A 27,012-nucleotide genomic window follows, 5' to 3' on the forward strand; every position below is an offset into this window, starting at 1 on the left:
GCGGTAAGTTTGAAAGAAAAGAGGTTTAATTGGCTCACAGTTTTGCAGGCCATACAAGCATTGTGCTGATGTCACTTGGCTTCTGGGGAGGCCTCAGGGAGCTTTTACTCAAGGTGGAAAGCGAAGTGGGAGCATGCATGTCACACAGTGAATGCAGGAGCAAGTGAGAAGGCGCAGAGGGAGAGGTGCCATACACTTTTAAACAACCAGATCTTATGAGAATGCAGAGTGAGATCCCACTTACCACCAAGGGGGCAGCTCAAGTGATTCATGAGGGATCAACCCCCATGATCCAAACACCTCCCACCAGGCCCCAAGTGCAACACTGGGGGTTATATTTAAACATGAGATTTGGACAGGGACAAATAACCAAACTACAGATCATCCCTAATTTTTTCTCTGAAAAATCATTTTTCAGAATTTGTTTTACAGTTGAAATCTGAAGAAATGGTGCCCCTAACATCTTTTTTGTATTTTTAAAAGGAGTCTCACTCTGTGGCCCAGGCTGGAGTACAGTGACACAATCTCAGCTCACTGCAACCTCTGCCTCCTGAGTTCAAGTTATTCTCGTGCCTCAGCCTCCCAAGGTAGCTGGGATTATAGGAGTCTACCACCTTGCCCGGCTAATTTTTGTAGAGACAGGATTTCACCATGTCGGCCAGGCTGGTCTTGAACTCCTGGTCTCAAGTGATCATCCTGCCTTGACCCCTCAATGTGCTGGGATTACAGGCATGAGCCACTGTGCCAGACCCCAACATCTTTATTTTTCAAATTCAATGGTTTGGCATTGGAGAGAGCCAGTTGTAACTCACCGTCACACAATGCTGCTACCATTTCCCAGGAAGGTGGTTCTTCTCTATAACCCTCTTTGGACATGCATGCTTTTGGAATTTGTATGTCCTGAAGTTGGGAAACAGGACAGAAATTGGTGAAGTTTTTAGGTATACTAGTATCCAGGTAATGGACACAGGAAGTAAAAACAAAGTCTCTTTGGATATCTGCATTCACCAGAATACAGCTTGGAATTCTGAACGTGTGATGCTGGAGCCAGGACCAACTGCAAAGATCCTTTGGCATTGTGCCGTCGAGGAAACTGAGGTAAAGTATAACAGAGGGACTTGCTGAGAGTCACCTGCAACATCCCAGGTCAGCGAGGTGTGCAGTAAACTTTGCTGTGTCCCTTTGGTTTACAGGCTGCTGCCCCTTTGTATTGAAATGAAGCATGCAGGAGGACTCAGTGAAATTACCTTTGGAAATTTCCAGCTGGGTTGTACCCTCTTAATACCAGGTTTAAATGCACGGGGTGGGTGTAAAGAATGTTTCCAAAGGGTGGGCTGTGGGGATGGTGGAGTTGGTGATGGAAAGGAGAGACATGGAAAGAAATGGTTTTTATGATGAGATTCTCACCAGTAGCTAAAATCATCCAATGCTGTGGAAGGGGGGAGTTGTGTGTGATGTGTGTTGAATTCTGGATAGCTATTTAAGCTGGAAGTGGTGAATTCATGGGCTATGCTGGGTCTCTTGGGAGATGGTTCAACCTTTCCTTTGTCCTTCCCCTAGTAGGAACCAAGAAGGGGAGGGCATGGAAATGGCGGGTGGGTGAGGTTTAACACAATTTTGAAGTCTACCAAAACACACATCTTTCTGCTGAGCAAATCATGGTGTCTCCTGGGCACCAACCTAGGAAAGTGAGTCTTAATCATGAGGCGATCTGTGCAGCACCAAAAAGCATTTGATCTGGAGTGGCAGTGGGAGGGTAATCCAGAAAAGCTGGCCTCAACTCATAATAAAGGAGTGGTGGGCCTATTTATTAAAATAGTAATAATGAGCCAGCAAACATTAAAAGAGCTTGACCGTATGCTGGGCACTGTCCCTGGCACTTGCCCTCAATTATTTCATTTATTTATCACCTCAAACCTATCTGTGAAAGTAAGTATTGTTATCACTGTGATAAAAATGCATAGGATTAGAAAAGTTAACTAATTACCAAGATCACAAAACTGTCAGTGGAGAAACAGGATTGTAATTCAAGTTAATCTGTTCCAAGGCCTGTGCTCAGTAATAGATACAAGTAATTTCATAGTATTCTTGCATAACAAAAACAGCCTGATTTTTGAAGCCCAATTCTAAGTCCTGTCTGAATCCTGAATCTGCACTTCTAACCTTTATAAAACTAGATCTTTTTCTAACCTCTTGGTTAGAAATCAAAAGTGCTCAAGAAAATCAGTCAGTAAATGGAAATCAGACAGGGCTGGGTAAATAGCGAAGTATGGTGAGAAGGGAAGGATCAAACAAAATGGTTATCAAAGAACAAAACTGTGTTGAGAAGCCAAGCAGGCAAGCTGAATATAAAAAGCTCATGGTTATGAGAAAGAATTCACTTTAACAAGCTTGTTTTTCCATTCTCTCCCCCCAGCTGATCTGATGACAATCTCATTCCAACTAAATTCTCTTGTGTCGTAAATCTCTGTTTTTCCATTTCATTTTTTCTCACCTATTTTATTTTTGTTCCATTAAACACCACCTCCACTTCCTTCCTGACCACTTCATTTTCTGCCTGGCCTTGAGATGCTCCCCAAGCATCTCAACAGCTTGACTTCTTCCTCTGCTAGGGGACTAATAGCTTTTTGTTGATCTACTGGCCATCTGGAAGCCAGAGCAGCCTCTACCCCACACAGGACCCAGGGAGAGAAACCAGTGTAGGTGGTGTGAGGAGGCAGAAACAAGGAAGAAGAAAAAAGAAAAGCCAGGAGATATAATAAGGAGATGACAGAAATAAAGCAAAATGAGAGGAAAATAGGATGGAAAAAAGGAAAGAATAAAGATAGAAAAGTCTGTATTTCAAAGATAAAGGAAGATTCATAAGACAAAATGAGAGGTAGAAAGTAAAAACACATAGGAGAGAGGGAGAGAAAGGGAGGGTAAATAGAAGCAGGGAGATACAAAAAGTGAAGGGAGAGGAAAAAAAGAAAAGCTGAGAAGTAGTAAAATCTATACATAGTAAAGGAAAGACACCCGAGGTGAGGAGGAAGGAAGTTAGGCTGAAAGGGATGAAAAAGCAAAATGAAGTAATCAAACTAGTTGAGAAAGCAGTGAGAGACATAGCCGGCAGAAAGAAATACGGAGAGAAAAGGAAAACAAACCCAGCGGGAAGAAGATAGATGTAGGCAAAACAAGATTGAGGGAGATTCTTAGATAAAATGAAAAGACTGTGTTTTCAAGTCGATCTTTTCCCTTGCCTCTACAAAGACATCATTTCATTTAACAACAAATGTGTGCGTTAAAATAGCCGAAAAACAAGTAATGCCGTAGAGCTGTGCATGCAGGGGATATTGTTTGGTCAGCAATGTCTCTCAGGAGACCCCAGGATTTCATTTAAGCTTTAGGAACTATGCAAACATCATCATAATAGCTAATATTAACTGGAAATGTACTATGCACTCGCACTGTGCTTAGCACGTTGAACAGTAATTTGCATGTAATTCTCACAACAAGCCTATGAAATAGTTGCTATCAGTATCTTTGTTGGTCAATGAGGATAGGGAGGCTTAGAGAGGTTAAGATAATTTGCCTAAGGTTGCACAGCTTTAGGTGCCAGACCCAGAATCAAATCAGGTAGTGAAACTCCCTAGCCCATGATATTAACCACTTACTTTCCAAAAAGAAAAAAAAAAAAGCCATGGTATCTGGAAGCAGGGCTCAGAACTGGACACATTCAACCATGTTGGCTGAGTCCCACTGTGTACTTGGCACTAAGTTAATGGCCAGGAGACAATGAGAGATAAATAAGACGTGATCTTGGCTTCCAAGAAGGTAATGAGGCAGGGCTGGGGAGAAGATATGTACATGCATGTTTCACAATTAGGGAAAGCATGTTTCTGTAGGTAAGAACTAAATGTTGTGGACACAAAGATCTGGAATGACCCTTCATGGGCAGGCTTGACAAGGAAGAGTAGAACTTCTCAGTGAATGTTTTTCTGTAAAAAGCCAGGTAATAAATACTTTGGGCTTTGTAGGCTGCAGATCTGTGTCACAACTACTCAGCTCTTGCTTTAGAGCAGTGCAGTCCTCAACCTTTTTGCCGCCAGGGACTGGTTTAGTGTAAGCCAATGTTTCCACGGACAGGAAATAGGGCTGGTTTCGGCATGAAACTGTTCCACCTCAGATCATCAGGCATAAATTGGATTCTCATGAGGAGTGAGCAGCCTGGATCCCTTGCATGCCCAGATCACAGTAGGGTTCGTGCCCCTGCTCCTAGGAGAATCTAATGCCCCTCACTGCTCTGACAGGAGGCAGAGCTCAAGTGGTAATGCTGGCTCACCTGCTGCTCACCTCCTGCTGGGCAGCCTGGTTCCTAACAGGCCATGGACCTGTACCTGTCCTTGGCCTGAGCGTTGGAGGCCCCTGCATTAGAGCACCAAAAAAGCCACCGACAATATGTGAACAAATAAGCAAACATGGATGTATTCTGAGAAATTTTGTATTAAGGACAATGAAATTTAAATGTCATATGATTATTTATGTGTCACGAAATATTACCTTTTAAACATTTCTTTCAGTCATTTACAAATATTTTTTAAAAGAACATTCTTAGCTCATGGGTGATGAGCTGAATTTGGCTGGGGGGGTTGTAGTTGGCCAATACCTGCCCTAGGGGAAATAAATAATTAAGGAGAGCATTCCCAGTATTGAGAGGCATGCTCGGAATCAGAGTGGCATGACAAGTCTTGGGGTTTCCTGAGAATTACTACTATCTTCCTCAAGTGCCAGGTGTAGCCTAGGGCATAATGGAGGTGAAGTTAGACATCTGTGTTGGGACTGGATTATGAAGTGTGTAGAATTCCACATAAAGAGCTTGAATGTTGTGACAATGGGGAGCCCTTGAAGTAGGTTTTAAGCAGGGATTTACTGCAGTTCAATTTAATTTTAGATATTAAAAAATGAATACGAGGATTGGGAGCTCTAGCTATAATTCATGGGTGCACTTATGAAGGCCCCAACTAAAGAAGAGTCAACAGATGTGACAGCAGGGGAAGTTCCAATCACTGCTTAAGAGGTGGAATTGATTGGCTTTGGTGATTGAATAGTTGAGGAGGAAAGATGCCCATTGTGGCTCACTTGTTAGTTACACTTTCAACGTGAATCAAAAGAAGTAAATGTCGTAAAAATACTGAGATATTCTGCAAAACCAAACAAGTATATGTATATAAATATGTGTGTGTGTACTTTCTAATTCTAAGAGTAATATGTGCTTATTTTAATTAATGCAAGGCTAGATACTATAATAAACCAATTATACATTTTCAGTGACCACTTGAAATCCTTTGAACTTCACCTCTTATTTCAGCCATGTCAGTCATGAATGGCCTAATTCAGGCATGACATAGCAAGACCTTGCATCAGACAGGCATTAGGCACCTCCGTCTTTCTGCCCTAGGACATCTCTGACTGATTAGCAAGGTACACTTTCATCACATACTCTGTGCAATCATATGCAGCCTGGAAGCCAGAGAATCAGTGCCCCAGGGACCAGCTCTTGACCACTTGAAGATGAGAGCAGATGTATAAATGCTCCCTCCTTCCCTTCCACAGGTATGCTGTTCTGAGGTAAATTTATATGCCTCTTCAGAAGTCCTGGTGGGATTGTGCACCAGCTGTCTGCAGTGAGGGTCAACTCAATAATATGTCTTTACAATCCCTTTTTCTCTGTCTCTAACTTCCTTCAGTGACCCCCTCACTCTGGCTCTCTGAATAAATTCCTAAAAAACTATCTGCCTACAATTTTTTTATAGGCTCTGTTCTTAGGGAAAACCAGGCAAAGGAATTTGATTAACAACAGAAGCTTAATTTTTGCTTGGATAATCAAAAAATGTAGTTGTTCTACTTAGCAGGCAGCTTCCAAGGGGTAACTCAAGGACCCATGTTCCTTCTACCATGCGGCTTTGTCAACTTTTAGGACCTCAGAGTCCCCTCTGAGGAAAAAAGTAGATAGAGAAGGTATAGTTGCTTCTTTAATTACACGTCTCCCATTCTCTCACATTCTATAAGGCAAGCATGGAATCACAGGGCCCCAGATGCAAGGGGGCCTGGGAAACATAGTGCCTGCTTAGTAGCTTTTTCTTAGCAAAACTCTACATGATGGATCAGGAATAATGTATTTTGGTCAACAGCCAGTCATTTCTACTTTAATGTTCAATAAATACATTTTGTCAGTAAAAAAGAGTACATAAAATAAGTTGAAATCACTTATAACTCCACCATCCAGGGTTAGTCACTATTTCATTTTGATGTATTCCTACCTTCACTTTTTCCATATCGTTATTCATATGTTTAGAAATGTGTGTATATATAAATAAATATATATACATATATACTCAGAAGCCTCCAGTAATTACAAATGTACATTTGCTTGCTTCACTTAACATTTTATTGTGAACATTATTGCATGTATTTTATATTCCTTTTTTTTTTTTTTTTGAGATGGAGTTTCGCTCTGTCACCCAGGCTGGAGTGCAGTGGCGCAATCTCGGCTCACTGAAACCTCTGCCTCCCGGGTTCAAGCAATTCTCTGCCTCAGAATCCTGAGTAGCTGGGATTACAGGTCCCCACCACCATGCCCAGGTAATTTTCATATTTTTAGTAGAGATGAGGTTTCACCATCTTGACCAGGCTGGTCTTGAACTCCTGACCTTGTGATCCACCCACCTCAGCCTCCCAAAGTGCTGGGATTACAGACGTGAGCCACCGCCCCCAGCCGTATTTTATATTCTGATTGAGATGTCAGGAAGGTGGAATTTAAGTTGGCTGATTATGTGGAACGTGGAGACAAACCTCAACAGGCCCAGATGCAGCTCACAGTCTATGAGGGAGATAAGACCTAGACCTCTATAAACATATGGTCTATTATCTTAAGAGCTAACTTATGAATTGGTGCATTGCTGAAATGTGACCACCAAAGACTTTATGTGTCCTAACTTTAGTCACTTACTCTAATTTTTTTGTCCTTTCAGAGCTTAGTGAAAGTAATTGAATACTTTTTTGACATTTTTTGTTACAAAAAAAAGACCAACTAATATTTCATGAACATGTCAACGATTATTTCTGCCAGCCCAAAGTATGTAATGTAGCCTCACAGAGAAAAAGGGAAGAGAAATTGAAGGCAATGACAATATCCCCATTTGCACACAATTTAGGCAGTCATGGGGTTGTCCTCAATGCACTAATAATAGGACACAGAGAAGTATATCTATAACTAACAAAAATCTAATTCCTAAAGATGAATAAACTATTTTGCTTGGGGCAAGCATTTCTTCTTTTTTTCATAGTTTTATAACCAATACTATTTAAACATTAAAATTATTGCTGCTGAATCTGTATCAAACTCAAGCAGAGCCAAGCCAACTTGAGGGTGTTTTCTCTCTTCTCTTTTTCTTTATTTTTGAGACAGAGTTTTGCTCTTGTTGCCCAGGCTGGAGTGCAGTGGTGCGATCTCGGCTCACTGCAACCTCCGCCTCCAGGATTCAATCGATTCTCCTGCCTCAGCCTTCCGAGTAGCTAGGATTACAGGCACCCACCACCATGCCCGGCTAATTTTTTTGTATTTTTAGTAGAGTTTGGGTTTCACCATGTTGGCCAGGATGGTCTTGAACTCCTGACCTCAGGTGATCCATCTGCTTTGGCCTCCCAAAGTGCTGGGATTACAGGCGTGAGCCACAGCTCCCAGCCCTGAGGGTGTTTTCTGTTCTCTATTCTATTTACCCCAAAGCTGTTATGAAAGGGGAAATTTCATATCTTTCCTCTGTGAACTGCTGGCCTCAAAGAAATTTTCCGCTATTGTTGCACCAGAGAGCAATGTGGATAAAATGTCATTGGAGTTCCAAGAAAAAAAGCTATAACTTCCATCAGGGACACAGAAAGTGTGAAAATGTTCACAATGAGCTTCCTGAAGGAAGCAGAACCTATTCTACAGGGTTGCAAGGTCCAATTAATGTGTAATTACCTGAAAAAGATATTTGATGGCTAAGAACTTTATGCTGAAATTAAACTGACTAGATTGAATACCAAGTTTGATACTAACTAAAAAGTGACCTTGGCAAAGTACTTTAACTTTCTGCATGTCCTTTAAAATAGAGCTGCTCACATGAAGTTATCATGGAGTTTCTATGAGAAATGCATGTAATAAATTATGTAAATTATCTGGAACGGTGTTTAGCCCATGGCAAGTGTTCCCCACATGTTACTCCAATTTTCTAGGTGCTAAATAAATGTTGAGTGGCATTGCAAAACTGTTTCTTTCAAATCTTGAAACACCTGGGAATTTAACATTTCCTTCAACATTTTTGAAGATTTTGACAAGTTTTCTAAAATGTTACATAGAAAAATAAAATTTTCACAAAGACCTAATTCAATTTGCAAACTAAAAGCAAAGAAGAAAAATTGTTTCTATCAGCCATGAACATATGAAAAAGTCATAGTAATAAAAAGTAATATATTTAAATGACAATGGACAGACTAGAGTGAAAAAATGTAAAGATTCTTGATAAGTGTAAAGATCTTAAAACCTGACCCATTTATAAGTGGCAACTTAGTATATGATGAAGATAGTCCTATAAACTAATGAGGCAAAAAGAGTATAAAGATCTTAAAACCTGACCCATTTATAACTGGCAACTTAGTATATGATGAAGATAGTCCTATAAACTAGTGAGGAAAGGACAAATTATTTACTAGTTGGTGCTGGGAGAACTGAATCACTATATGGGGAAAAATAATGTTAAAACTCTGCCCTACTGAGGATGGATTGGCAGCTCATATATAAATGAAAAAAAAAAATACCACTAAGTCAATAGGTTCCAACATCAGAGAATTATAACCCTGTGGTAAAGAGATTTTCCTAAATATGACCCCAGATTTATAAACTATCAGGTTATGGGGAAAGTATGGATTTTTAAATATCAAAAGAATAGATTTTCATTCAAATGGACACCACACACAAGGCCAGCATGAACCGTATTTTAGCATATGGTATCTGCAATGGTGAAATATAATAATCCAACATCAATCTTACAGGAGGACTGATGTCAGCAAGATGATGTACTAGGCAGTCCCAACACTTATCTCCCTCTAAGACACAAACAAACAAAAAACAACAAGTTAATAAATAAATATCAGTGAAAATAGCTATGGAAGAACTCTGGAGTAATGCAAAAAGTAGTAGAAACTCCGGGCAGCATAGAAACTAAAGATGACCCCATAGAAAGGGATAGAAAACACTTTGCCTGAGTCACCTCATCCCCCAGCAGGAGCAGCATGGATCTAAGAGGGATCTCCTCAGAGGGATATTTCCCCCATGGGACAAAGGTGAGCAGGAGGACCCCAGTCCTCACCACTGACACAATACTTGGAGCCTTCACCACTGGTGACCTCCACAGTCTTTATCAATGCTAAGCCCAACTAAGAAAGCTGCCCAGATGGAGTCCACACTGTCCACTTGTCCCAGAGAAGGAGACAATGCTATGCTTTTGCATTGTACCTTTTCCTGAGTAGCCACTGCACTTCACCATTTCTGGGCCCTTGTTACCACTGCACTCTGTTGCCTGGGGCCTGGGATGCCACAGTACCCCACCATCTTTGTGAGTTGCTGTTGCTCTATGTCCCCATGGTCAAGCTGCTGCCAAAAAGCTGTATTCCTAGGGCTCAATTTATTGCTGCATCCTACATCTTGAGACCTGGGTTTTTGCTGTGGGCCGACATTTCGGGGCCTTGCTGCCAGGGCATTCTGTACCCCAGGAATTAAGCTGATGTGGCACCCCACCTTTCCAGGGACCTTTAGCATTCAAGCCACAGCTGCAGCCTATTTCTCCAGCACAAATTTCTGAGGCAGGCCACAGAGTCATAGACTCTGGCTCTCTGGGTGTTCTGCACAGGTCCACAACTCAGTGAGTAGACCTGCTCCCAAGGATGCAGGTGTCACAGTATTTCCTTAAGTCCCTGAGCCCAGATGCACAGGCACTCTAAAAGTTTGTGTCCTGGAGCTTCCTGGAGACCACACTGCTGCTTCCCACGCTAAACCAGAGTCACTGCATTGCACCCAACCAGTGACCTTGCAATCACCAGCAGCTGAGAGTCTTTTCCCACTGAAGCCAGCTTGTAAGTTCTGAAAAAAGTAACTGCTCCATTAAATGCACAAACATAAACACAAGAGCACAGGAAACATGAAGAAACAAGGGAATATGACATCACCAAAAGAACAATAATTATCAGTAATTATCCAATAAATGAACATAAAGAAATAGAGATCTACGAATTTTATAAAAAGGAATTCAAGGCCGGGAGTGGTGGCTGAGGCTTGTAATCCCAGCACTTTGGGAGGCCGAGGTGGGCAGATCACGAGGTCAGGAGATCGAGATCATCCTGGCTAACACGGCGAAACCCCATCTCTACTAAAAATACAAAAAATTAGCCGGGTGTGGTGGCGGGTGCCTGTAGTCCCAGCTACTTGGGAGGCTGAGGCAGGAGAATGGCGTGGACCCAGGAGGTGGAGCTTGCAGTGAGCTGAGATCATGCCACTGCACTCCAGCCTGGGCGACAGAGCGAGACTCCATCTCAAAAAAAAAAAAAAGGAATTCAAAATAATTATGTTAAGCAAACTCAGCAAGATGCAAGAAAATGCAGATAGACAATTCAACGAAATAAGAAAAGCAATGCATGAAGAAAATTAGAAATTCAGCAAAGAGAAATCATGAAAAAGAACCAAGAAAAAATCCTGGAACTGAAGAATGAATGAATAAAATTAAAAATGCAATAGCGAGCTTCAACAGCAGCCTTGATCAAATGAAAGAATCTGAAAATGTGAATACAAGTCTTTTAGAATTATTCAGTCAGAGGAGGATAAAAAGAACAAAAAGAGTGAAGAAAGGCTGTGGGACTTACGGGACACAAGCAAACCAATAGATAAATTATGAAAATATATGGAAATTAAACACACTCTTGACAGCCAATGGGTCAAAGATGAAATCAAAAGGGAATTAAAAATAGTTTGAGGCAAACAATAATGGAAACACAATGTACAAAAACTTATAAGATGCAACAAAAGCAAGGGAAGCTTATAGTGATAAACATCCATATTAAGATAAATAAAATATTGCAAATAAATAACCTAACTTTATAGTTCAAGAAACTAGATAAAGGAAAACTATGGCTAAAGTTAGCAGAATGAAGGGAATACCAACAATCAGAGCATAAATGAAACAGATGAAGGAACACCACAGAGCAAAAGAGCCAAATAGAATCCTCCAGTGATTGCACCCTCTGCTGGAACACCAAATTGAACAACTATTCATACAAGAAAGCACCTCTGTAAGAACTAAAAATCTAGTGAGTGATCACAGTACCTGATTTTAGCATCCTATCAAGAAAAGAGGCATTAAGGTGGTTAGAAAAGACAGTCTTGAATTGCCAACATCAACACTCCCTCATCCTCTGGCAACAGCCACATGGCATGGAGAGAGAATCTATGTTCTTGAGAGAGGGACAGCACAGTGATTGTGGGGCTTTGCGTTGGAACTAGATGTTACCCGTCACAGTGGAAAGCTGTACTGGGCAGAATTCAACCTGTGCCCACTAAGGTAGCATTAAGCCAGCCCTAGCCAGAGGGGAAATGTCCCTCCCAGCGGTCAGAACCTGAGTTCTGGCTAGCTGCACTACCATGGGCTAAACAATCTGGGGTCCGAAATACACTTGGAAGGCAATCTAGGCCACAAAGACTGAAATTCCTGGGCAAATCCTAGTACTTTGCTGGGCTCAGAGCCAGTAGGCTTGGCGTGTATGAGACCTAGTGAGATATTTTCTGCTGGAGGAGAGGGAAGAATAAAAAAGAATTTTTCTTGCAATGTGGATACCAGCTCAGCCACGTAGAATAGGACATTAGTCAGAGTCCTAAGTCCCACATTCAAGGATCTAGCTCCTAGATGACATTTCTAGACACATCCTAAGCCAGAAGTGAACCCACTTTCTTGAAAGGAAGGACCTAGTTCTGGCAGGATTTATCACCACTGACTAAAAAGCACTTTGGCCTTGAATAAACACCAGCAGTAGCCAGACAATTTTTGCCATGGACTTTGGGTGAGACTATGCCGTGCTGGCTTCAGCATGACCCAGCACATTCCCAGCTGTAGTGGCCATAGTGAGAGACTCCTTATCCTTGAGGAAAGCAAAGGAAAGATTGGGAAGAACTTTGTTTTACAGCTTGGGTGCCAGGTCAGCTGCAGTAAAATAGAGCACCAAGTAGATTCCTGAGGCTCCTCACTCCAGGCCCTGCCTCCCAGACCAGGAGAAGAGCTCACCATCCTAAAGGGAAGGACACAAGTCTGTCTGGATTTACCACCTGTTGAGCAAAGAGCCCTTAGGCCTTGGATGAACATCAGCAGTAGCCAGGCAGTGGTCACAACAGACCTTGGGTGGGACCCAGTACTATACTGGCTTCATGTCTGACGCGGCCCAGTCTCAGTGGTTGTGACCACAAGGGTGCTTGTGTTACCCGTGCTCCAGCTCCAAACAGCTCAGCATGGAGATAGAGCCTTTGTTTGTTTGAGAAAAAGTAATAGAAGAGAATAAGAGTCTCTGCCTGGTAATCCAGGGAACCCTCCCAGATGTTATCTAAGACCACCAAGGGAGTACCTTTACAAGTTGGCAGAAGTTACAGTGTTACTGGGCTTGGGGTGCCTTGTAATGCAGATATGGCTGCAGTGACCAAAGTTTTAGATCACAATACTCAGTTCCCTTTGAATATTTGGAAAACCTTCTTAAGGATGAGTAGCAACAAGCACAGATTGTGAATGCTACAATAAATACCTAATTCTTCAGTGCTCAGACACTGATGAACATCCATCAGCATCAAGACCATTCAGGAAAACATGACCTCACCAAACAAACTAAATAAGTCACCAGTGACCAATGCTGGAATGATAGAGATATGAGACCTTCCAGACCAAGAATTTAAAATAACCATTTTGAGAAAGCTCAACAAAATTCATGACAACACAAATAAGGAATTTCGGATCCTATCAGACAAATTTAACAAAGAAATTGGAATGATTTCAAAAAATCAAGCAGAAATTCTGAAGCTGAAAAATTAACTTGACATACTGAAGAATGCATCAGAGTCTCTCAAAAGCAGACTTGATTAAGAAGAAAGAATTAGTGAGCTTGAAAACAAGCTATTTGAAAATACAGTCAGAAGAGATAAAAGGAAAATCATAAATATGCCATGAAAAAATTGTTAGAACTAGTAAACAAATCCAGTAAAGTTGTAAGATACAAAATCAACATAAAAATCAGTTGTGCTTCTATATGCTAGGAATGATGTATCTGAAAAATAAATTAAGAAAATTACCTTTACAGTAGCATTAAAAACACTTAGAAATAGATTTAATTTAGGAGGTGAGAGATCTATAGACTGAAACTTATAAAATATTGATGAAACAACTTGAAGAAGACACAAATAAATGGAAAGATTTATGAACTGTGTTTATGGATTGAAAGAATTAATATTGTTAAAAAGTCCACACTAACCAAAAGATCTGCAGATTCAATGCAATTTCTATCAAAATTTCAATGCTTTTTATGTAAATAGAAAAAAAATTCCTAAATTTATATGTTGCCACAAAAAAATCCCAATAGCTAAAGCAATCTTTAGAAAGATAAACAAAGCTGGGGGCATCACATTTCCTAATTTCAAAGTATATTAAGGTATAGTAATCAAAACAGTGTAGTGCTAGCATAAAAGCAGACACATGGTACAATGGAACAGAACAGAGAGTCCAGAAATAAACTTAAACTTATAAAGTCAACTAATTCTTTGAAGAGATGCTAAGAATACACAATGGGGAAACCATAGTCTCTTCAATAAGTGATGTTGGGAAAACTGGATATCCACATGCAAAAGAATAAAATTGGACCTTTCTCTTATACCATACACAAAAAATAAACTCAAAAATAATTAAATATTTAAATATAAGACCTAAAATCATAAAACTACTAGAAGAAAACATAGGGATCTCAGCATTAATCTTGGCAATTGTATGAATATGTCTTCAAAAGCAAAGGCAACAGAAGCAAAAATAAACAAATGGGACTACATCAAATTTACAAGTTTCTGCACAGCAAAAGAAATAATAAGATGAAAAGGCAACTTATGGAATGGAAGAAAATATTTGCAAATGTTATATCTGATAGGTGGCTAATATATAAAATATATAAGGAATTCATACAACTCAATAGCAACAAAATCAAGTAACCCAATCATATTAATAACATGGGCAAAGGAAGCAAATAGTATGTTTTTTTAAACGCATACAAATGCCCAGTAAGAATACACAAAGATGTTCAGCTTCACTAATCATTGGAGAACTACAGATCAAAACAATAAGATATCACCTTGCACATGGTAGAAAGGGGATTATTTTAAAATCGTATACTAACAAGTGTTGGAGAGGAAATGGAGAAAAGGGAATATGTGCACACTATTGGTAGAATTTTAAATTAGTCAAAGCATTATAAAAGACAGCCTGGAGGCCCCTCACAAAACTGAAAATAAAACTACTGTATAATCAAGGATTTTCACTTCTGATTAGATATCCAAAGTACCAGTATCTCAAAGAGATATCTCACTACTGTGTTTACAATAGCCAACATATGGAAATAGCCTAAGTGTCTGTCAATGGATGAATGAAGAAAATGTGACTCTCTCTCTCTCTCTCTCTCTCCACATATATATATGTATATATATATATAATTGATATGTGAATGTCACTTATTCCAGCACAATTTGTTGAAAAAAGCATATTTTCTTCATTAAATGTTTCTTGTGTCTTTGTTAAAGGTCAATTGACTTCATTTGCATAAATCAATTTCTGGGCAATATATTCTATTCCATTGACCTATGGAGATATTTTTTTTTCACGAATACCATGCTTTCTTAGTTACCTAAGTCTTATAAATCTTAAAGTTCAGTGTGTGGGTTCTTTAAATTTATTCTTGGTCAATATTGTGTTGGGTATTCTAGGGCACTTGTCTTTCTGTATAATTTTAGAATAAGTTTGTTAATACTTATAAAATGGTTTATTGAGATGTTGATTACAATGACTCTGTAGATCAAACTGAGATGAACTTACATCATAATAATATTGAGCTGTTCTGTTCATGAACACTGAACATTTCTCCATTTATTTACATCTTCTTTAACTTGTTTAATCAGTTTATAGATACTTTGTTAGATTTATAAAGTTTTTTTTGTGTATGCGGTAGTGGTGGTATTTCCAATTTCACTTGTCCATTCCTGGTATATAGGAAAGCAATTGATTTCTATACATTACCCTTTTCCTGCAACCTTACTATATTCACTAATTAGGTCCAGGAGTGTTGTTGTTGCTGTTGTTTTTGTCAATTCTTAGGGAATTTCTATGTAGACAATCACCTTATTTCTAAGCAAGAACAGTTTTATTTGTGCATTCCTAATCTTCATATAATTTTTATCATTTTCTTTAATTATTGCACTAGTTAGGAACTGCAGTATGATATTGAATAGGAGTGCTGAGAAAGAACATCCTTGACTCATTCCTCATCTTGGGAGAGAAGTATTCAGTTTCTAAGCATAAAGCAATAGTGGGTTTTGTTGTTGTTGTTTGTTTGTTTTGTAGACATTATTTTTCAAGTTGAAGAATCTTGCCTCTGTTATTAGTTTGCTGAAAAGTTTTTATCATGATTTTTCTAAAATTGTCAATAAGATCAAGTTGATTTAGCTGTCCAGGTAAACTACATCCTTACTAATTTTCTGCTTGATTTTTCTACCAATTACTAAAAATAAAAACACTGTTGAATTTTTAAATTATAATAGTGGATATGACCCTTACTCCTTACTTCTAACAGTTTCTGCCTCTTGTCTTTCGACTCTTAAATATAACTGACTCTGCTGTTAGGTGCATACATGTTTAGAATTTTTATTTCTTTTTGAGGAATTGACCAAAATTTCCCAAATTTAAGTAATACTCATCCTTAACTATGATAATATTTCTTATTGTGCTTTTAAATCTGCTTTGTATAAAATTAATATAACTACTCTTTCTTTGATTAGTGTTAGTCTGGCATATTGTTCTCCATCCTTTTACTGTGAGCCTGAGTCTTGATTTTTTCAGTGAGTTTCTTGTAGACAACATATAGTTGAATCTTTTTTTTTAATCTACACCAAGAAGCTAATTGGTATAATTAGATTGTTCATACTAAAGCTGATTACTGACATAGTTAAATTCATTTATAGTGTTGGTAAGAGTTTTTGTTGATGTTTTCTTTGCCCTCTCCTTTTTTATTGCCTTCTTGGTTTTTACTGAGAATTTTATATTATTCCATTTTTTTCTGCTCTGTTAATATATGAATTATACTTCTTTAGAAAATAGTAGTTTGTCTGGAATTTGCAAATTAAATTTTCTCTAATCTAAATCTGTATTCAAATAACATCATACCACATCACTTATAGTGTATTTTTTTTTTTTTAAGACGGAGTCTTGCTTTGTCGCCCAGGCTGGAGTGCAGTGGAGCAATCTCAGCTTACTGCAGCTTCCGCCTCCCAGGTTCAAGTGATTCTCTTGCCTCAGCCTCCTAGGTAGCTGGGATTAGAGGTGTGTGCCACCAAATCTGGCTAATTTTTGTATTTTTAGTAGAGACAGGGTTACACCATGTTGGTCAGGCTGGTCTCGAACTCCTGACCTCAGGTGATCCACTTGCCTCGGCATCCCAAAGTGCTGGGATTATAGGCATAAGCCACCGTGCTGGGACTATAGTGTATTTTTTTAACAGAGTATTTCAAATTATTTCCACCTATACGTCATGCCATTGCTGTTATTTATTTCACTTATCTATTTATATATTATAAATACTTAATATGTTATTACTATTATTAATTTAAATAAATAGTTATTGTTTTGGCCAATTAATAATAAAAATACAAGATTTTACTTTACCATCATAAATTTTTTTCCCAATATCCAAACTTTTGTTAATGTAAATCCAAGTTTATGACTTACATGTTTTTCTTTTTCCTGAAGAACTTCTTGTAATATATCTGAAAAATCAGGTTTACTGATGAAAAATTCCCTCAGTTTTTGGCTGAAGAAATTATGATTTCCTCTCTTAACTTTTAAAGGATGATGCCTCTCAGTGTAGAATTCTAGGTTGATGCTCTTTTTTTTTCTTTCAATATTTAAAATATATCATCACATTCTTTTTATTTGCATGTCTTCTGATGATATATAACTATTATTTCATTTATAAGCAAATTCCCCCAGTTCCTCAAATCTGACTTCTTTCAAGATTTTATCTTTGTCTTTTGTTATCTACAATTTGAATATGATATGCCTATGTATAGATGTTGATGACAATGATGGTGATGATGATGATTGGTGTTTATCTTGCTTGATTAGAAAAAAAAAGATTTCTGAATTTATGATTTGCTGTCTCTCATTAATTTAGAAAAATTCTCAGCCATTATTTCTCCAAGTTTCCATTCTGCTTCTTTCTTTCTTCTCCTCTGATATTTCAACTATAACTATGTTACACTTTATGAAATTGTGACATAGTTGAATATTTTATTCTGTTTGTTTGCTGTTGTTTTTCTCTCATTTTCTTTATTTCAGTTACGTAAATTCCTACTGACACATTTTCAAGCTTGCTGTTTTTCTTAGCCACACCCAGTATAATCATGAGTCCAATAAAGGCATTCTTCATTGCTGTTACAGTGTTTTAGATTTCTAGCATTTCCATTGGATTCTTTCTTAGAGTTTCTTTCTTTATCCTCACATTACTGTCCTAGTTCATTTTATGCTGCTATATCAGAATAATTAAGACGGAGTAATTTATAAGTTATAGAAAATTATTCTGTCACAGTTCTGGAGGCTGGGAAGTCCAAGTTCAAGACATTGGCATCTGCTTCCAAGATAGCAGCTTAAGTGCTGATTCCTCCAGAGGGGAGGAGCACTGTTCCTCACATAGCAGAAAAAACAGAAAAGAGAGAAACCATTTCACAAGCCACTTTTATAGTGGCATTAATCTATTCATGAGGGAGAACCCTCATGTCCTAAATGCCTCCCAGAGAGCCACAGCTCTCAATACTGTTGCTCTGGGGATTTAATTTTCAGTACATGAGTTTTGGGAGACACTTTAAAACCATATTCTGTCCATTCCCCTCTCCTCCAATCAAATTCATGTCTTTCTCACATACAGATACATCCATTCCATCCTAATAGCTCCCAAAGTCTTAACCCATTCTAATATTAAATAAAAAGTCCAAGTCCAAAGTCTCTTCTAAATCAGATATGGGTAGGGCTCAAGGAACAATTCATTCTGAGATTTTTTTCTCAAGCTGTAAGCCTGGGAAATCAAATTATGTACTTCCAAAATTCGATGGTGGTACAGGGATAACATTGGCATTCCTGTTCCAAAAGGGAGAAATAGGAAAGAAAGAAGGAGTAACTGTTCCCAAATAAGTCTAAAACCCAATAGTGCAAACAACATTAAATCTTATTCCTGGATAATAATATTCTTTGACCCTATGTCCCAATTATTGAGCACACTGGAGTGGGTGCTGGGTCCACAAGGCTGTGGGCAGCTCTGATTACATGGCTTGGTTAGGCAGAGCTCATACAGCTCTCACAGGTTGCAGTTGAGTCCCTGCAGCTTTCCTAGGCTGGTACTACATGCTGGTAGCTCTGGGGTCTTGGGAACAGCCACATTTCCATGGCTTCTGTAGGCATTGTCTTAGTGAGGACTTTCTTCAGTGGCTCCAACCCCACAGTTTGACTGGGCATTGCCCTACTGGGGTCTCTCTGAATCATTCTTTGGAATCTGGGTGGAGGTAGCCATTTCACATAGCTCTTGCACCCTATGTAGGGTTAGCACCAAGTGGACACTGCCAAGGTTCACTGCTTGTGTCCTCCAAAGTTGTAGCCCGAGCTGGGCACACTTAAGCCATAGTTGGGGAAGCCAAGGAACACTTCAAAATGTGAGGAGTTTAGACTCAGGGTGGTTTTGGGCAGCAAATACCTGAGGTCTCACAGGCATCCTGAACCCATTCCTTGAGACCATTTTGCCCTGAACGTCCTAATACTCTGATGCTGTGATGGGAGGGACATTATTGATTATCTCCAAAATGACTTCAAGGTTATTCTCCCATTGTCTGGATGAATAGCACCTGGCTTCATTCTATTTTTACTAATCTCCTTATCAAATGGTTGCTTGGCCACACCCTCGATTTTCTCTCTTAAACAAAATTTTGTATCTTCACATGGCTAGATTGAGAGTTTTCCAAATCTTTACATCCTGCATCCCTTTTAATTATAAATTCCATCTTTAAATTGTTCTCACATTTTACATTTTACTATAAGTAGTTAAGAGAAGCAACAAAGCACTCTGAATGTTTTCCTGCTTAGAGATTTGTTCTGCCAAATATCTTAGTTCATTGCTCTTAAGTTCTGCCTTCTATGAAGTCTTAAGACATGGACACCTTTCAAACAAGGTTTTCTGCCATCTTATAGTAGTAATGGCCTTTCTTCCAGTTTCCATGAAGATATTCCTCATTTCCACCTGAGACCACATCAGGACACCTTTTACTGTACATATTTCTACCAAGATACTGTTCACAAGCACTTAGATAATCTTCTCTAAGACTTGGGCTCTTTCTACAATTTCTCTTTTTCTGAGTCCTCACCAGAAGTATGCTTAATGCCCCATTCATGGCAATACAGGTTTTTTACAGCATTCACTTCAAAACTCTTCTAGCCTCTACCATTACCCATTTCCAAAGCTGCTTCCACATTTTTAGGTATTTATTATAGCAACATGATACTCCTGTTACTAATTCTGGCATAGCCTGTTTTGTGCTACTATAGCAGAAACTGAGACTGGATAGTTCATTAAAAAGCAGATTTTTTTTTTCTTATAGTTCTGGATACTGGAAAATCCAAGATCAAGGTGCAGGCATCTGGTGTTTAGTAAGAATCTAGTCTCCACTTCAAAGCTTGAATACTGCCTACTCCAGAGGGGAGAAACACTGTTCTTCACATGGTAGAAGAGCAGAAGACAGAGAACTCTCTCCTGACAGCCCTTTTAATAGTTGCACTAATCCATTCATGAGGGAGAATCCCTTATGGCCTGCATGCCCCCTTAAGGTCACACCTCTCATAATTTCTAATTGCATTAGAAATTACATTTCCAATGTGAATTTTGAGGGACATATTTAAATGATAGAAATTACTCATCTGTTTTACCATGTTGTCTACTTTTTCTATTACAACTCCTAAGAACTCCTAGCATGTTAAACATAGTTATTTTAAATTTTTTTTTTTTTTTTTTTTTTTGGAGATGGAGTCTCACTCTGTTGCCCAGGCTGGAGTGCAATGGCGCAGTCTCGGCTCACTGCAACTTCCACCTCCAGGGTTTAAGCGATTCTCCTGCCTTAGCCTCCCAAGTAGCTGGAACTACAGGAGTGTGCCACCATGCCCGGCTAATTTTTTTTTTGTACATTTAGTAGAGACAGAGTTTCACTGTGTTAGCCAGGATGGTCTCAATCCCCTGACCTCGTGATCCATCCGCCCTGGCCTCCCAAAGTGCTGGGATTACAGGTGTGAGCTATCGTTCCTGGCTGTAATCCTTTTTTTTATATTTCAAACTGCTATGTCATATCTGAATCTTCTTTTGATGCTTACTTTTTCTCATCAGACTGTGTGGGGTTTTTTTAGTTTATTTGTTTTGTTTTTAGAAGGTCTTGTAATTTTTTGTTGAAAGACATAATATATTGCATAATAGCGATTGAGATGAATCTGGTTTAATGTTTAGTTTTATTCTACTCTTGTTATGAATTAAACGTGCTTAATGCTTGGTATAGCTTTACGTGACAGAAGCTTCAAACCCTTCTCTTATTTTTCTTTTGTCTCTCTTGTCGACTTTAGACTTCTCTAATTACTCTTCTTCAGAGAGAGTCTGTGTCCTGCATCCCTGTAAGTATTATCCAGTGCCATTTGATGGGGCCTTGTTCATGTGTTATGAAGAACCATTTCACTATCATTACTATTCTCCATTTCTTGCAACAGTCACTAGTGGATCTCTCTCTTTCCTTACCATGAGAACCTGGTGGGGTTCCTACTGGTAAATCTTATGAATGTATGAGGAATCTACTAAGTCTGTGGCCCTAGAAAATTTTCACTTTTATACTAGTCTACATTCTACCTTCACAAAACCATCAAAATTACTATTTAAAGGTTTCTAGTACCTTCCGCTTCAAGTGTGAATATTCTCTGTATTTGCCTATATTTTCAAGTTAAGAGATTGGTTTGCTCTGCAACCTCAGTTCTCTAATGGGTCCAAGAACATGCTTCTTTTCAGTGATTGTGTGTGCACGTGGGGGTGTGTGTGTGTGTTGTAAGGATACATGTGACAACTTGCAATTTCATTCCATGTTAGAAATACAAAGAACCTAAATATTTTTCATACCAAACACATATATCAAGTACATTAGAGCAGATGCCTGGAGCAGGATGTGGTGTCGTGCATGAAGAATGGAAGTGGAGAGAAGGCATGTAGAGGAATAAAACAAAAGCAAATAATCTAGTATAATAAAACTGGAAAGCAGTCTTGCATGAACCAATTCTATGAGAGTATGCTGCAAACTGAGGAAACTGATTAACTGTATATTTGCTCTCAATGACTCAGCTATACAGTGGATTAAATTAGTTACTAGGAATGGAATCCACAAATCTGTACTTTTAAAAAATATGATCATCAGAATATTTTGAAATTACCCTGTAGTTGTCTGGTATTGTGCTCCTTGTATCTCTTCTGTGTTCTTTGTGTCTTATTTTCCCACCCTCCACAGCTGAACTTCAAAATTCTCCCTCTGAGTTTCCACCGAAGGACTTTTTGAATGCCTCTATCTTTCTCCAGTAGCCACAGCCAGCCACTGGCTGCGCTTCATTTCCTGCAGAAGCTCAGTTACTTGGGTACTTCTCAGGAGCAGCTGTTAGGCAATCTGGAGGGCAAGGCAGTGATGCTTTGCCTTGGGGGAGGGCTGCTTATGGAGGGAGAAAGCAGCGGCAGTGGAGGCATTCAGAGGTCTTGGATGGAGGGTCTTCTGAGGAGTATCAGGGAGGAAAGAGGCATGATCAGAAGTCTCCCTCACTGGTGCCTCCACCCCTTGAGGTTTCTAAGGTAAAAGCACTTGTGATCTGCCCAGGTCTAGAGGCCCCAGAGTCAGTGAGGGTCACTGATGAGAAAGTAGAAACACCAGGTCATTGGGATCACCCTTGTGAAAGCTGCCTGCCTCAGGAAGAGATGAGCCACGACCTGACAGCCTGGCCCACATTCGTACTCCTCAAATATATCCCTCTTCTCACACCAAGAATGATTCTTCGTTCCAGAGGTGAGATAAAAGTAAAAGAATTTAAAGCTGTCAAACAATCTGTGTGGAAGTGAAGTATGAGAAACAGTACAGTTGTTTTTAAAAAACTGTGTCCTGGGAGTTGGAAGACCTGCCTTCTGGGCCTGAAACCTTGGTCAAACCTTGGCATAACCTTAGAGAAGTAAAGCAATCTCTCCTGGTCTTTGTTTCTACATCCTGTTGAATTGGTGAAATGTTGTTGGCAATGAAAGTTAAAGAAAAAGAGAGAAGCCCTGGGTTCTCTCTCAATTAGTTGACCGTAAACTCAGTATCGATCTGTGACATGATGTAACTCTGATGAAATTAAGGCGATATTAGACTGCTTAAGGAGGGAGATGTCTGTTCTATTTTGTTCTGTACTGATCAGATTGTCTGAAATACAAAGACTAGTTCTTAATTATGCTTTTAGAGGACATATTAAGGGGAGAGAAACTGAGGCAGTAAATGAGAAAACTCAAAATCAGGGAAATATGCTATTGGAGCAAAAAATAACCAGAGGAAAAAAATTTGCTTCATTTTATTACAATAGTCAAGACATGGCTACAAGGAGTGAATGCTTGTTTTGTGCTAAGTAGTGTCTTAGAAACTTTGAATGTACCATTTCATTTAATTCTCACACTGTATCTGAGGGAATCAATGTGTGTGTTTCTGTGTGTATGTATGTGTATGTGCGTATGTGTGTTACTCTGTAGTAAAACTGATGAAACTGAGTTTTAATGAATGACATTAATATTTCTGACAACACACAGAGAGTGAGGATGCCTGGATTCAAGTCTATGTGATTCTGGCAAAAGACCTAGCCCCTAACTCATAACAGCCACAAAAGAAAGCAAGAGTTTTTAAGTCCTTAAAGAGTGTCACAGGTGCTCTGTCTGTCTCTAGTAGCAGAACCAGGACTTACATCTGGAAGTAAGGCCTGTATGACTTATGTATGAAGTCATACAAGACTTAAGTATGATGATGAAATTCACCTCAATTATGTACTTCTTAACAAATGAAGCTGCAAGACGATTGGATGAGTATCTCACTAGAGTTAGTGATTGGAGGCATTGAAACAGAGGCGAGGCAAATATTCATCTGGGATATCTTTATGGCCATCTGGGCATGATAGAAGGTGAACTAGATGAACTCCAAGGTCATTTCCAACCTTGAGAGTTTATGGCTCTTTGATAACCAAGTTCTAGCATGTTGTAACAGCCAGTGCTCCTAAGAGTTCACAACGCATACAGTATTTATGTGGATGATTAAGACAGGTTGCTATCAACATTCCTCAGAGAAACATAATAGACAAATAAAACAAACGTTAGAATTTATTTATCCCTTACATAGCTTCAGTCACTAAGTGCTTTACACACTTTAAACCCCATAACAACATCTCAGAAAGCCTATTTTTAAATCATTTTACAAAGGGGACATCTGAGATGCACAGTAGCTATCTTGTTTTCTCAAGTTCACAAGGCTAGTAGGTAGCAGAAGAGGAATTGGAACTCAGGCCTGTCTATCTCCCAACGCTTCTTCCTTACCATTCTGTTATACCACTTCCCTCTACATGGTAAAATTTCTCTTTATTAAGAAATCTGAGGCTTAGATTGAAAGAAATTTTCTATGGATTCAATAATTTCCTAGTTGCCCTGTGCTCTCACTATACCTAAATAACCTCACTGAATACTCGCAACAGTTCTCTTAAGTGGGTATTATTACTCTTGTTTTATAAATACAAAAATGAGAAGCAAAGAAACTGAGTACATCATTTCTCTTGGTCACATGCAATAATTGGCAGGACCAAAATACCTTTGCAAACCTGGATATCTTCACAATGAACTCACTTGACCTAGCTTACCAAGCAGATGTTTGATGCCAAGAACATGTTGGCTGCCTGCGATCCCTGCCATGGCTGCTACCTAATGGCAGCTCCCATTGTTGGTGGCTGCATGTCCATGAGGGAGGTGGATGAGCAAACGTATAACATCCAAAACAAGTACAGCAGCTACTTTGCTCATTGGATCCCCCACAATGTGGAAAGAGCTGCTTGTGACATCCCACCCCTTGAGCTAAAAATGTCTGTTACCTTCATCAGTAACAACACGGCCATCCAGGAGCTGTTCAGGTTCAGGTGTATCTTGGAGCAGTTCACAGCCAAGTTCAGGTGCAAGGCCTTCCTAAGCTGGTACTCAGGCAAGGGCATGCATGACGTGGAGTTCGCTGAGGTCGAGAGCAACATGAACAACCTGGTGTCTGAGTATTAACAGTACCAAGACACCATACAGAGGAGGAGAGAGAGTTTGAGGAGTGGGCCAAGGAAAAGGTGGCTTAGACCCTTCTGTTACTAGGTGAAGGATGGAAGTGGCATGTATTTTTTAATCACTCACAGTGTTTTCTGTGATAGCAACACCTCACTGTGTGTGCACTTGCTGTGTATTCACCTCTATTACAACCTTTTCATAGTAAAAAAAATTAAAAAGCCTCTCAGAGAAACATAATAAAATTACATAAATTAAACAATAAAAATAAAAATAAATAAATAAAATAAATAAACGTGGACTGACCAAGTCCACAGTTAAAAAGCTAAATGATTTGCTTAGAGCCTTGGGAAATTACAACCAAGAATCCATTGTTTTAAAAACCTTAGATAATTCTATTTTTCACACACCAGCAATGTTCATCATGGAAAGTCAATAAGTGTGCTTGGCTCTGTTTATGATGACTAGCACTTCAAATCTCATTTTCTGATTCATCCATACTCTACAAACAAATGTAATACGTGTTTTCTATGTATGTTTCACGAGATGATAATACAAAGCAGTTTTGGACCAATCTATCTCAAAGAAAGGAGAACCTGTGCCTGGACTCTGACATAGAAACAAAAAACAAAACAAAACAAAAAACGAGACTCAAGCCCATAGAAGATCCCTTCCCAATAACAAGGGAATAAATTGATAGCAAAAGATGACTTTCTTCTGCTGAGTTCAGATTTGGCTCCTGAACTCTGCAAAAGGAAATGAGGGAATGAATTTATTTCTGAGGCGCATTTGAAAAGGAAGCCAACTTTCCTCTCTGGCTTTTTTTTTCTTTTCTTTTTCTTTTTTTTTTTTTTAAGTATCAAAAGAATCCTTAAACACATAGGGAAGACAGGTCAACCATTCAAACCCCCGTGATTTCCTTCAGCTTTCTGCACATTTCATAAGTGAGGATTTTCTCTCAGAAACCACAACAGCACGCAAAGCAAGCTCAATAGTGCAATGAGTTGTCACTGCCAAAGAGTTGTCACTGCCAAAGAGTTAGCCTCATCCTCATAGACGAGACACCAGGACAATGTTTTCCTACCACAATGTTGTGAGGAAACCTGAGCACCCAGAAATCTAGGTGACTTTCATATTTCTAGCACATTGCTCCCCAAAATGTGGATTTGTAACCTTGGTAGTTCTGAAATGTTTGTATGTAATACTTGTGATGATTGAAAGCATTCTTGAAATTGAAAAGGGCACTCAAAAATTGTAGATGGTACACAATTCCAATGCTAAGGAAAAGTGAATCACATGATGGCAGAATTATTTTTATTTCAATTTTCTTCCAACTCTTTGAATTAAGTCAAGGAAAATAAAACCTTCCAATTTTGAGCTAAAATGGGTCTTCAACGCCTAATTTAACACCCCTTTAAAAGAAAAAAATTGAGACAGTTCTCACTTCATCACTCAGGCTGGAGTGCAGTGGCACAATCCTGGCTCATCACACTTCCAACATCCTATGCTCAAGCGATCCTCCGTCTTCAAACTGCTGAGTAGCTGGGGCTACTCAGGAGGTGCATGCCACCACACCTGGCTGATTTTTATTTTTATTATTTATTTTTTTTTTTTAGATATCGCTCTGTTGCCCAAGTGGTCTCCAACTCCCAGGCTCAAGCGATCCTGTCTGAGCCTCCCAAAGGGCTGGGATTTTTTTTGTTTGTTTGTTTGTTTTTTAACAAAGAGGAAACAGGTCTCATCTCAAGAGCCTTAGGCCACTAAAAATATCTAACTAGGATTCAGTCAAATTTAAAGCTACAGTTGATCCTCATTATCTATGGATCCATATTTGTGAATTCAGCTACTTGCTAAAATCTACTTGCAATCCTGAAATACTCACAAAGTTTCTGCAGTCATTCAGACATGTTCAAAGTAGTGAAAAAGTTTGAGTTCTTGTACATGCTTGCTCTCAGCTTACATTGAGTAATGTGACATTCTGTCTTCTTGTTTCAGATCCCATACCGTAAACAAGCATCCTTTTCATGGTCTATTTAGTGTTACGTTTTTGGATTTTGGTGGGTTTTATTGTTAGTGATTTTGTCGTTGAAAATGGTTTCTAAACACAGTACTGAAGGGCTGTCTAGTGTTCCTAAGCACTGGAATGCTGCAATGTGCCTTACAGGGAAAAAACATATGTTAGATAAGCTTTGTTCAGGCACGAGTTATAGTGCTGTTGGCTGTGAGCTGAATGTTAAAGAATCAACAACATATATTAGATGAGGCATCTTTAAACAGAAACATACATAAAAC

At 39.0% G+C, this 27,012-nt stretch overlaps 1 long non-coding RNA gene and 1 pseudogene across 1 annotated transcript in view; both read left to right on the forward strand.

Annotated features, from left to right (window-relative positions):
- LINC02578 (long intergenic non-protein coding RNA 2578) overlaps positions 1 to 5,761 on the forward strand; it is a 65,642-nt gene extending 59,881 nt beyond the window's left edge. The window contains exons 3-4 of the long non-coding RNA NR_151725.1: positions 1,012 to 1,098; positions 5,593 to 5,761. This is a non-coding gene — a long non-coding RNA (long intergenic non-protein coding RNA 2578). The remainder of the gene's footprint in view (positions 1 to 1,011; positions 1,099 to 5,592) is intronic.
- TUBB4BP6 (TUBB4B pseudogene 6) lies at positions 24,316 to 24,728 on the forward strand (annotated as a pseudogene).

The sequence above is a fragment of the Homo sapiens genome, chromosome 9 (genome assembly GCF_000001405.40).
Source record: "Homo sapiens chromosome 9, GRCh38.p14 Primary Assembly".
Classification (NCBI taxonomy): Eukaryota; Metazoa; Chordata; class Mammalia; order Primates; family Hominidae; genus Homo; species Homo sapiens.